Source organism: Homo sapiens, chromosome 20 (assembly GCF_000001405.40).
Source record: "Homo sapiens chromosome 20, GRCh38.p14 Primary Assembly".
NCBI classification, from domain to species: Eukaryota; Metazoa; Chordata; class Mammalia; order Primates; family Hominidae; genus Homo; species Homo sapiens.
Genome location: NC_000020.11, coordinates 16,347,856 through 16,360,726, shown reverse-complemented (window position 1 = coordinate 16,360,726; position 12,871 = coordinate 16,347,856). Strand labels below are relative to the sequence as shown.

The window sequence follows — 12,871 nt, the reverse complement described above, 5'->3', positions numbered from 1 at the left end:
AGCGTATTTGTTGACACAGAGCATTATTTCATTAAAAGCTATCAGAAAAAATATTTTTTGTATTTAACTTTTAAAGATACTTCTTATGTACAGATATGTAATTCAAGTTACCAATTATCTACTTTTTCTTGACTTTTTATTTCTAAATAGGATCACTCCATGGCACATTTAAAATTGCTTATACTATTTCTGTACTCATCCACACCAGTTCTGCTTGCAGAGAGGTGTTCCTCACACCTCCTACTACAATGCCATCAACTTTCCCTTCAGAGTCTAAGAATCTTTTTTGCCACATATAGGGAAACTGTGATGGATTCCAAAATAAATAATGCCATCGAAATATAAAAGCTCCCATAAATAATGGGATATAATGGGATACAGCAAACATTTGCATGTCTAGTATAAACCTCAACATACTCAAAATATAGCCACTTTCAAATCAAAAATAAATTTAAGAGACATTTATGTTAACTTTACTTCCTGTCCAGTATAAACATAGTTTAGGAGAGTGTCAAGAATTTTTTACACTGTACCCTGAGAATTCCACATTTCTCATGAAATTGACTTCATAAAATAATGTTTACAAATCACACCACAGTGATGATTTGATGGGAACACATTTTGATTTTTAAATTTATTTATGCATTTGCTCAGATCCCTACCTTATATTTTAGTTGTTCATTTCTGTAGCTGTTCATTTCTGTACACTCATTAATATTTAGTTCATATGAAATCAGTAAGATTGAAGTAAACTGTAGCCAAGGATGATAGTGGGGACTCTGGCAGTATTTCTCATCCCCAGTATGATATGTAATGAAGAGAGAAATATCTTTCTTCTCTGCAAAGGATCCTGTTATGCTTCACTGTCTGGTCCCGTTTGGGACAGTAGCTCTTATATCCAGCCAAGGGCCATATATTAGTCCAGGCAGTTGCTAGTGTGTCAAAGGCTGCCCTAGATTGAGGTAGGCTACGTAATATTATAAGATCTACTCATTCTCAAATACCTGGTCCTTACTCAAATCACTTGCCCAGTGAAATTGTCAAAGGCAGGGTTTTTTTTTTTTTTTTTTTTGTAAAGAATCTATGATCCTGAGCCTCAAGCAGCTTTCCTTTTATTAGGGATTGGTTTTACCCTGGTACATTCTTAGAAATGGAGAACTCTGCAGTTGTATTAGTCTGTTCTTGCCTTGCTATAAATACCCAAGACTGGGTAATTTACAAGAAAAGAGGTTTAATTGGCTCATGGTTCTGCAGGCTGTGTAGAAAGTATAGCACTGGCTTCTTATTCTGGGGAAGCCTCAGGAAGATTACAATCATGGTGGAAGGTGAAGGGGAAGCAGGTATCTCACACAGTGGGAGCAGGAGCAAGAGAAAGAGTGTGAGGGAGGTGCCACATGCTTTCAAATGACCAGATCTGGTGAGAACTCACTCATTATCACAAAGACTGCACCAAGCCATAAGGGATCCACCCGTGTGACCCAAACACCTCCCACGGGGCCTACCTCCAACACCAAGATTATTACAACTCCTCATGAGATTTGGATGGGGACAAATATCCAAACCGTATCACCAGTCATAAAATACCCAGACCGTCAGTTACAGTCTTACCTCATTTTAAAAACTGACTTATGAAAAGAGAAAGTTAAGGTCCCAAATCTACCTTTAGAATATAATCCATCTAGAGTAGAAACATCAAAAGTTTGTTCCAAACATGTGCAGTTGAGAAAAACTAAAGGTCTTAGAAATTACAAATACTTTGTAAAAGTTATATTGTATTCCCAAGGCCTGACCCTCTGTGTGGCACATAGGTGGTACCCAGTAAAATAGCAATGTTTCATTATATATCTTAGGGGTGCCTAAAAGAAAAGGCATTTAGAAAGTCAAAGGTAAGTCTCCATTGCTTAGCTGACAGAACATGCCTAGGCAATTTTGACCATAGTTCTTCCTCAGTAAAATTCCTGACATTTGGATGACAAGATACATATTCATAGTTGTTCTCACTCCATTCCCCCATCACAACTTTCTAATCCTGCTGTGATTACCAGTTCACTTGTAAGAGTCTGCCTCAGACCTTAAGTCCCACAGGGTGGGGTACCATTGCGTTCATAGTTGGGTCCCTCCCATGTAGTTGGAATCTAATAAATACCATGCCCATTTCCATAGGGGAACTGAGGTGAAGAGCGGGCAAGAGACTTACTCCAAGACCAAGTCCCAGAACTAGGATTGGATTCCACATCTTATCCTTCCTTCTGAGTCTTGAAGTGAACATCACCTGGAATCCCATGTCCATTTTCTGTGACTAGGTCAGGGAAGCAGATAAAGTTAGAGTATGTTATGCTTGTGGATACTGTCGTCCACACTTTTTTGAGAACCCGATCATTCACGTGATCCTAAAAGGTTCAAGTATGTAAATGGAGGTATCCCTAGGCAAAACTGAAAAACATGAAGTTTGCCTTTCAGATCATCTCCCTCACAGGTGTATGTGTGACTGCCATGTGCCTCAAGTGACAGAAGCCCATATAATTTTTTTTTTCCTTTGAGATGGAGTCTCGCTCTGTCGCCCAGGCTGGAGTGCAGTGGCGTGATCTCAGCTCACTGCAACCTCTGCCTCCCGGGTTCGAGTGATTCTCCTGCCTCAGCCTCCCAAGTAGCTGGGACTACAGGCGCATGCCACCACTCCCGACTACTTTTTTGTATTTTTAGTTCAGACAGGCCTGCACCATGTTAGCCAGGATGGTCTCGATCTCCTGACCTCTTGATCAACCTGCCTTGGCCTCCCAGGGTGCTGGGATTACAGGTGTGAGCCACTGTGCCCAGCCTCTTGATGGTTTTTGATATCAGGGATAGCTAAATCGGTGTACCATTATGATAAACAATTAATTCTTCTTGCTTTGGGTGACTAGCCATGCAGAGAAAAATTAAGATCCTATAACAGGCTTCGGAAACTTCATGCCAAAATGCACACATAGTCAGCTAGATTAAAAGCAGCAATCTGAAACAAATTATATGTCCTTGTGTCCTCTGGAAGTCCAAGCTTTCATGCACACAGCTAAGTTGACACTCTCAAGTTACACCTGGCTGAGAACCCTTTCTGTCTGGGAGAAAGGGAGCTTATTGCCCCCTGTTTTCTTTATAGTCACATAAGTGGGTTCCATTGCATAACCATGGAATTCTCAGCATCTTAAAACCTACATATGTGTGAAGTGTTCATTAGCTCAATGTATCTCAGATGGATGTAATTATTGTACAATTTCATGATTGCAATCTAGAGTAGTGTGATGAAAGTGGGCTCTAGATTGGCCTGAGTTTAAATCTTGACTCTACCCCATACCTCCATCAAGTGAGCTCAACCCTCAGTCTTGGGCCTCTCATCTGATAAATAGGGTGAATAATGGTTAATACCTCGTAGGGGGGATTGTGAAGATTAATTGAGCCAATTCATGTAAACTGGTTAATGTAGTCCTTGGCATATAATGAGTATCCAATAAATGCTAACTATAATTATGATTCTAATTATTTTGTTATTGCTATTACTTCAAAAACATATGTTTTCTAAAGCCCCCAGCTTAATGCAAACAATAAGGATTGTTCAGAGATTTCTTCCGATTCACACTTAAGACAACTTCATTTGGAAGATTTATTTTTTTCATAATGCCTCTTCCTCAGACCCCACTAGTCCCCCACTGCCCAGGCCATAAATATTTGTCAGAGCCAAGTTGAGTAATCAAATGGGGCCTAAAGAAAATACTTGAGATTTGTTTTAATTGTGGTTTAAAGAGCTTTCCACACTACACTGGCTTATAAAAATGCCTAAAAGTTAAAAATGAAGTAAATTTGAATAAAATCTCTAGCTTTTGCAGCTTTATAAGTATAGCTGTCTGATAGTGTGTGAAGAAAAAAGTTTGTCAGATGGTCAAGACTTTTCAGAAGGCAATCTGGTTTACACTGATTTTTTTTAAGAAGTCAGGATAATATAATTTGTCCCTGTTTTTACTTGTTCTTATAAATTGGAAGGAACTTCAAAGCCAAACACTTCATAGTGCTTTTGCCCTAACTCCTTGGAACGGTATACCTAAAATAATGGTCTTTTTGTTATGAGAGAGGCTTAGCTTTTCTCTTTCAAAGGAAACCATCATTTTTCTAAATAAACCCTACTGGTTTGATGCTCTTTTCTCTACTTGAAACACATTTTCTCCCTCCTACCCGAGCAGGATATTTGCAGTGGAGTGATTCTGGTTTCTCTTTGTTCTCCCTGTCTGACATGCCTTTGATAGCGGATGGTTTCTCGCTCTTTGGGCGCAAATCCAGATGACCTGAAGGACCCAATTAAAATTAGTATCCCACGCTACGTCCTCTGCGGGCAAGGAAAGGATGCACACTTCGAGTTTGAGGTCAAGGTGAGTGTCTTCTTGACTCTTCTGGAGAATGGAGGTTGGAGACTATGCAGTGCTTTATCTGTCTTTATTTTTTCAAAAGGGGGATGAAGCTGCATGTGAATATCCTGTTTGTAAAATATTTGGTCTTGCCCTTCTTTAAACCAGTCTGTAAAACTCTTGACTGTAACACATGGAAGGAAGGTACCTCATAGAAGGTGTTAGTAAGGCAGACAGAAATGGAATTCCTATCACCCACACCCTACGGGTAGGGTGACCAACCATCCAGGTTGCCCAAGACTTTCCTAATGTCTGCCCTTAAAGTTTCACACCTTGGGAAACCCCACAGTCCTGAGCAAACCAGGACAGTTGGTCACCCTCCCCATGGGCTTAGTCTTAATTTTTCTCATCTATAAAAATGAGACTAATAATATTTATGTCACAGGAATATCAGTGCGTATAAAGTGTGCATCTTGTGGCTGGTATAAACAGTAAATTGTAGCTATTGCTGCTATTACTACTGCTATTTTCATTGTTGTTTCTATTATGAATTAGGAAGCCCTCCTCATTTGTTTCAAGTGTTTCTTGATTTATACAACTTTTCAGGAAGAGATGTGCCTGTTTCCTTACGTCATGGTTTTCTAAATAATGACTTCATCTTTTTGCTAATTTGCTTTCATTGACTCATAACACTTTATTAAATAATGTTGCTGGCCACCATCCTCTTCTCAAGAAAGTAATGATAAATCACACTTCTTTTTCTTCAAGGATCAGCAAGGGTATTGATGTAATGAAGTCCACTAGGATCACCAGTGTGTGCATGCATAAGGGTGTTCTTGGAGGCTGTAGGTGGTTTTGTTCAGATCAACACCAGACCATGAATCTGGACACTGAGTTCTGTAGACTGTGACCCCGCTGCAATTTGCTGAGCAGCCATAAGTCATCTGATCCTCAGTTTCCCCACTGATACAATGAGGAAATTGGAAAGTACCAGTGGTCTCCAGATTTTATTTTATCTGTGAAACTCCTTTGTTCAAAGAATATCTTATGTGGAAGGACACCGTAAAAGGCAGGGAAGCCTAGAGCTGCTGGGCACACACAGAGTGGGGAGGGAGGAAGGAGCCTAGAGCCAGCCGTCTCCCCTGCCTGTCCCCACCCCTGATGCATCTCAGGGCAGCCCTGGGCTCTGAGGAATCCCTCTTTTCAGATGTCACATTCTTTCAACCTTCCTGAGGAAATGATGTAAATAACTTCTTTTCTAGCTAACCAGACTTTTAGGATTTTATTTCTATATACTAAGTTTTCCGTTAGAAAAGAAAAAAAAAAACAGGGCATCAGTTTATATATTTGAGGTTTTCATTGAGAAAGCATGATGCCTGTGTGTTGTTGCTGTTACTCTTTTTTTTTTGAGATGGAGTCTCACTCTGTTGCCCAGGCTGGAGTGCAGTGGCGCGATCTCAGCTCACTGCAACCTCCGCCTCCCGGGTTCAAGAGATTCTCCTACCTCAGCTTCCCGAGTAGCTGGGATTACAGGCATGTGCCACCACGTCCGGCTGACTTTTTGTGTTTTTAGTAGAGACAGGGTTTGCACTGTGTTAGCCAGGATGGTCTCCACCTCCTGAGCTCGTGATCCACCTGCCTTGGCCTCCCAAAGTGCTAGGATTACAGGCATGAGCCACCGCGCCCAGCCTTTGCTGTTATTCTTAACTTTGCTTATCCAATTATGTGGGTTCTTATTTAAATGTTACGCTATGTCCTTGATCCACTACTTCCCACTGCCCCTGACCTAATATCTATCTCCTGGTCAATTTCTTTTTCATTTGTTCTCAACCATTCTAAATTGTGTGTGTGTGTGTGTGTGTGTGTGTGTGTGTGTAGAATTCCATTTGTACATATATGTGATTATACATGAATATAAAAACAATTTCGGAAGTTGTGTTTGCATCATGACTGTGTTTTTTAATTAGAGAGTGAAGACTGGCTTCCATTAGTTCAGAATTAGAATTCCCCAGCACATAGAACTCAACAGCAGTGAGGTACATGCAATGATTTTAGTTGGTACACGGATTTATTTTACTTTAACAGATAAATGTGTTAATAAAATATAACTGTTAAATCAATTTCATGTATAGAACTCAGATAAAAAGATATTTAATATTTTAAAAACTGCATTGATTTAAATAAAAATTACAAGCAAATAATAATCAGGTGGTGTGCAGATTTGGCCAAAATTGTGAAGATGCTACTGCCCATGCAAGTTAGAGAAACCAAATACAGAAAATTCTATGAGGCCTTATGGAATCTAGGTGATCACTTCAGGATACATAAAATCCAAATCCACAGAGCTCTGCTTTCTTTGCATTTCTCAAAGCAAGTTCTGAAGCGTGTCATTGTTCCGCTTCCTTTTTCTGTTCGTCCCTAGGTGCTATAATTATGAGCACCAGGAATGTGTTAGCACCAACTTGGAGAATGTCTAGTTCTCCGTTTAGGCAGGGCCTCCTGATACCTTGACAGGTAGGTGTGTGGAAGCCTTCCACCCCATATGGATACCTTGTCATGGGGTAGTATGAGAAACAGACATGATGTGAATATACAGGCCTTCCCCAGAACAAAACAACAAAAACAGCCTCGATCCAGGCAAAGAGGTAGCTGCTAAATAGCATACCCTCCCCCTGCCCCCACAATCCTCATATCCTGCCATCTCCAGGCAACCTCAGCAGGTCACACAGCCTCACTGTGCCTCACCTGTCAAATGGGAATCATAAACCCCCCCCTCATTGGGTTGGTATGAGGAGTGGATGAGTTTGTATGTGTAAAGTGCTTGAAACAGTGCCTGCCACATACTAAGTGTTGGATAAGTGTTTGTTATTAAAAAGAAATAAAAATAAAAATGGGATGAGTGAGAGTTTACTGTGAGGTCCCCTTAATGACTTTTGATGTACAATTATGTTTTTATGAGAGTTTTGGATTTTGTTGGGATTTTTTTTCTTTTTGGTTGTTTGCTTGCCCTCAGCATTTGGAATTTAAAATTTAGATTGCTGACCTTTTCTCTCAGTCATTTGGACATTTCATGCGTAGGCCCTGTTTTCTAGAACAAATAGTCATGCTTATGGTAATATATGGTAATATTTTGGCTACTACTAAATTCTTCTCTTGGTGAACCAGTGGCTATTTAAGGAGGCTAAGGTAAAAAGTATTATTTTTAAAAGAGACTATTCTCTTCAGTTTTAAGCTTTTTTGAAGGGAGATTTAACATCAATGTACATACATAGATATATTATTACACTTTATAATTTAGAAAAATCTTTGCTGCTTCTCTTTTAAAAAATCAGTTTTTGTTTTTCGTTATCCCGCATGATGGTCCTGAGTACACACAGTGAGACGCTGTGCCCTCTGTGACCAGCAGGGCAGGGTCTGACACCCCCTGGTATAAGACCCCTGTTTGCTGTATAGCTTGCTGGTGTCACTGCCAGCTTATTTAGGGTCCCAGCTGATTTGTGTGACCACACCAGGGCCCACTTGGTGTTGAGGCCTGAGGGGCCCCAGGAGGGAGACAACACGCCAGGGGTGTAGCTGCCCAGGTTCTCCTTTGTCATCTTCCCCTCGCCCTCCTCACCCGCTCTGCTTCCTGCGCTCTTCTGCCAACCTTTTTTTAGGTAGGACTCATTAGTCATTGAAATCATTGCTTCTTCCTGGCCATTTTCATTTTAATCCCCAGTGTGGGAGCTCCAATTTGGTCTGCCCATTGCCACGTGAAGTAGTCAGGAGCCTGTTAAGGGAATGTTCCAGGGACGACACAGGGCGTGTGATTTCAAGGGAGGGCAGAAAGTCAACGGGGGTTCCCAGATGCTCATCTTCTGACCCCTGCTGGGCCATGAGGAGGTTTCCACCACTGGTCTTTAAAATGAGAATAATAGAGTTTTTCATTAAACCAAAATCTATTTAATTCAAAAGGACTGTCTTCTATACCTGCTTTATTTGGGGGCATTAAAAACAACTCTTTTATGAAATAACTGAGGATATATAAGTAGACAGGTTTTTGTTGTTTGATCTCATTTAGTTTTTTAAGATTAACTCTGTTGAGGCGTAATTTATATACAGTGAAAGCACACATTTTAAGTGTAGTTGGATGAGTGTTGACATATGTATACACCCGTGTAACTAGCCCTCTGGTCAGGACTTGGAACTTTGCAGGCCCTCCAGAAGTTTCTGGTGGCCGTTTGCAGTCAGTGCCCATGTTCTGGCACCAAGGCAAGCACTGATCTGCCCTCTGCACCTACAGATTAGTCGTGTCTGCTCTAGCAAACCATGGAGAGGGGATCCAACGGCATTTATCTTCTGTACCTGGCTGCATTCCTTTAATGTAATGTTTTGGAGATTTACCCATGTAGCTGAGTATAACAGTAATTTGTTTCTTTATATTAATAGCATCCCACTGTATGGATATGTCACAATTTGTGTATTCATTTCTTTCCTGTTGGTGTTTGTTTTAATATTCTTACCTGATGATACAAAAGGTTATCATTTTGGTGTCGCCCCTCTCCCCACTTTGTTTTACTCCTCCCAGGAGACCCTGGGTCAGAGTATCAATTCCTGTTACCCTTGAAGCTGTACCTTCCTGCGGGTCCTAGTAGCACATCCGTCTGGGACTGTGTCTGCAGATGCATGTCCTGCTGACTGGTGGCAGAGATAGAGATGGGGTGGGGAAAGCTGAAGCAGTGCCAGTCTGGCTTCTCTCTGAGAACAGCACGTTCTAGGCTGAAAATTGCTGTGTGTCACCTGCTGGTCAGCAGAATGAAGCTGCAAAATTTGTGCCTGCGCTCAGCTGCACCTGCCACAAGTAATGCCATTAACCGGATGACAGCAGTCATCTTACAACCCCGCTTCGCATGCCTCTCAGTCACTGACACGTGGCATCAGTTACGCTGCATTATGCTTGCCATTTTCAGTTAGTTAGGACCAGAGTGGGTAAAATTTAATTTTGAAATCACATTTCAGCATAGCACAAAACACGGGCCTGGGAAATTGATGGTTAAGACGAGCAGAGACTATCACACTCATGTCATAGAAATAAGCTGGTGTTTCCAGCATTGTTTGAAATCCCTTGCATTTTAACTTACATGTCAACACGGTAACATAAAGAAATAAGCCAACACTGGTGTGTTTATTTTTTAATATTTTGTTTCCCGAGAGTTTCTATTCTTGTAAAATCTGGAAGTAATCGGCAGAAGAGTTTGTTGTCTCATCTTTTTTCTGAGTGGTCATCTGCAGTAGTGCCCCCTGCCCTGTTCTCCATCCTGTCACCAGGGGTACTCCCCTTCTTTCACAACCAAGGTCACAGCTCACAGTCGTGTTGCTTTCAGTCTGGTTATTTTCAGTCATTGTCTTGTTTGCTGATCTTCCCCTGTGGGTACAAGCTCCCAGGGCCCTTGTCAGTCTTGTATGACACAGACCCCCCCCCAGTGCCCACCCCGTGCCTGACTGGTACCAGTCACCCAGTGGATCACCCAGCAGTGTGATGCATGCTAGCCTGGCCACAGGTGCTCTCATTAGGCACAGCCTGTCTGGCGCTTCGGTGATGACTGAGTGACCGTGTGCCCTTTGTAAACTTCCCCCCCGCCCCCACCCAGCTCCTCATGCTCCATCCGCACTGATGGAGTCAGTCACTGATGAGCCATTCTGCCCCTTGCTCATCCTCGTGATGTGGCTGGTGGCTCTTAGTCATGCAGGGAGAGTGTGGGCAAGTCGAGCTTCTTGATTGTGTCCGAGTCCAAGCATGCCAAAGCCTCCCATCTTCCCTCCTCCCCACCTTCCCTCCCGCCTTCTCAGCACCACCCTCCAGCGCTCCAGTATACCCATGTCCTGGCTCTGGGCTGAGTTCAGCACCCGCAGGGTACATCTGTTTTGTCTTGGCTTTCCTTAACAGAGAGGTAGACCTCTATGCCCCCTGCCCACCCTCTGGACATTGTCCTGGCTGCCGGGCACCCTCCAGCCCCTTGCTCTTAGAAGCACGTGTCCCATTGTCATCTCCTCTAAGGAGCCTTCTGCATTCCGGCTACGCTCCGAGGTGCCCGCCTTTTCTCACATGGCTGCAGGGCATCAGCCCCATTGACCAGTATCACTTTTGTCCACTTAGAGACCCAAGAAATGCAGAACTACACACAGACAACTTAGGTCACACACATGATGTCCAGGACAAAAGCTTTCCTGATTTTAATCATCTGGGTTTTGTTTAGGTGCCATAGTAACAGTCTCCTCTTGTCTCATTCTGCTCTGACTCCTGATCAGTGGCCTGAGAAGGAGGGAGAAGCAGAGAAAACATGAGTAATGAATGATAACGAGGATGTATAACCTCACGGAAGTGTTCCAGGGAAAACTTGTCGACCATCTGCTAATAATTATCAAGTACCCCAGTCAGTGGCAGCCATTCTCCTTTCCATTGTGTGAACTTAGGTCTGTGAGCTCCCCCTTCTAATTTCAGTCAGTCTGGCCCTAGACACTTAGGGCCAAGAGATCTCATCTGCTGAGTCCTCCCTGAACTTAAAAGACCCTGAAGTGAGACATGCTAAATTGCAGAACTGCAGGGCAGCAGTTCAAATTGGATCTTGTTTTTACAACTGAAGAACCACATGGCAGGCACCGTGGGGCCAGGGACTGACAAAGTCGTGGAACAATATTAACCCGAGGCAGCAGGTGCAAACTGGTGGTGGAGGATATGGGGTTTTGTTGGCCTGAACAGATTTTTTAAATTTTGCATGAATTGTCAGTATTTAAAACTTGGGAGACCTGACATAGAAACCCAGATTTGCCAAGATCCTGTGAAAAGTCAGTAAAAGCAGGAACTAGGGCCAACATTCCTGCAAGGCAGCACTCGTAGGGCAAAACAGCAGCTCCTCTTAGGGCAGGTGTGTGCCCTCCACTTGGCCATAGACCTTGGGATTTCCTGTCATGGAGAAAATCACCTTGATGACATGGTGGCCTCCAGGGATGCTCAGAGTCCAACTGCACCGTACAGAAAGGCTCACAGAGCATTCAAAAGCACACAGAGATGTAGAGGAAGGAGGGGTAGGTGGCACCCTGATGGTGGGCTAGCAGGTGGGCCGGGTGTTCTATCTGACCCCTGGTCACAACTAGTTCATCTGTCCCCTCTCTGTCATCTCAGCCTTTCGTACTTACTATGTGCTTAAAAGGACCAGAGTGAAGTTTTAGACGAGGGGCCATGGCAGACAAAGGGTGCCCAGAGCCAGTGCACCTTCTCCATGAAAGGAAGCAGGCACAGGCACACCCAGCCAGCCACCTGCTGTGAGCAGTCCTGGGTTTCACCTGTACTTCTCCAGTAGAGCACATATGGTACCAGGATGGGACCAGGCTGGTTGTCATCAAGGCTGGTCAGTTCAGGGGAGACTTAGCTGTCATCCCAGAGGGTGCATATCATGAGGCAGCATTTCCCTCCCTTTCCGTCCCTAAGTAACATTCTCATCTGTTCCATCATGTTTGGTTTTTTAAAATTATTCTATCTTTGGCATGTCTTACAGTTTATCAACCTGTGGCCTGTATTTAACACAGCTTGCACACCTTAGGAATTTTGTTGTACCTCACAGGCTACTTGCTTACTATCCTAGATCTGTTTTGACAGATCCTATGAGATTTGCCTATACCTCATAAGCTTCTTGCTTATTTACTGGCTGTATTTAACACTAATTAGCTGCATCCATCCTCTATAGCACAATTGGATGTTCTCAGATAGTATGGTAGACTCCTGCTCTCGCTGAACATCCATGCACTGGACCGCACTGCCCTTCGTTCTTGACTGATCTCTGTAGGCAATTGCAGCTCTTCAAGGAAAGAAGCTAACATCTATCAAGCACCTTCTTTACCCAAGGCATTTTGCTAGACATTTCCACAAATTTGGAGAATGTACCAAAATGGGGGTAGTATTTGTATTTCACCAATTAGGAAATTATGAATGACTTGCCCAAGGCCACACAGCTAGTTAGTAGATCAAGATACCTAATGTTCATGTCAGGTCTAAGTGCACTGAGCCATACTTGTTCCCTTACTTACTCATTTTAATGTACCTTCCAAATATCACTACTTTCTACACATTTATAAGTTGAGGCTATATTTTAGTATTGCCCTAGAGATAATGGTCGTTTTCAAATCCTTGCCTGTTTTCAAAATCTACTGTTATTTTTGTGTATGTTTTAACTTTTTGCCTTGAATGCTGACCAAGTCATGGGTACTTTGTAAATTGGGGCTGTTGTTAAGGCTTTGGTAAACCTGAAGAATTTGATGGTAGATTGGCCTGCCAGGAAGCATGAAGAAGAAATGCCTAGAAAAATTGCAGTTTGGGAGTTCAAGCAATCACATTTGCAGTCCAAGAAATTTCTCTTTATTTGGCAGAACAGAAATAAGAGCCATTCCAGTCTATTAGATAAACTCTGTACAGATACATCTTTTGGAAATACTCCCTACTTGATAGAATATAGATGTTCAGA

The 12,871-nt window shown here is 42.7% G+C and overlaps 1 protein-coding gene across 12 annotated transcripts in view; it reads left to right on the top strand.

The window, feature by feature from the left end:
* Positions 1-12,871, top strand: part of KIF16B (kinesin family member 16B) — a 301,345-nt gene that overhangs the window by 212,722 nt on the left and 75,752 nt on the right. For 8 of the 12 annotated variants that reach the window (XM_047440264.1, NM_001199865.2, XM_047440262.1 and 5 more), the window contains one exon: positions 4,275-4,397. The exons of the other annotated variants lie outside the window; for them this stretch is intronic. In XM_047440264.1, coding sequence (XP_047296220.1) covers positions 4,275-4,397 — 123 coding nt within the window. The remainder of the gene's footprint in view (positions 1-4,274; positions 4,398-12,871) is intronic. 12 annotated transcript variants of the gene reach the window in all.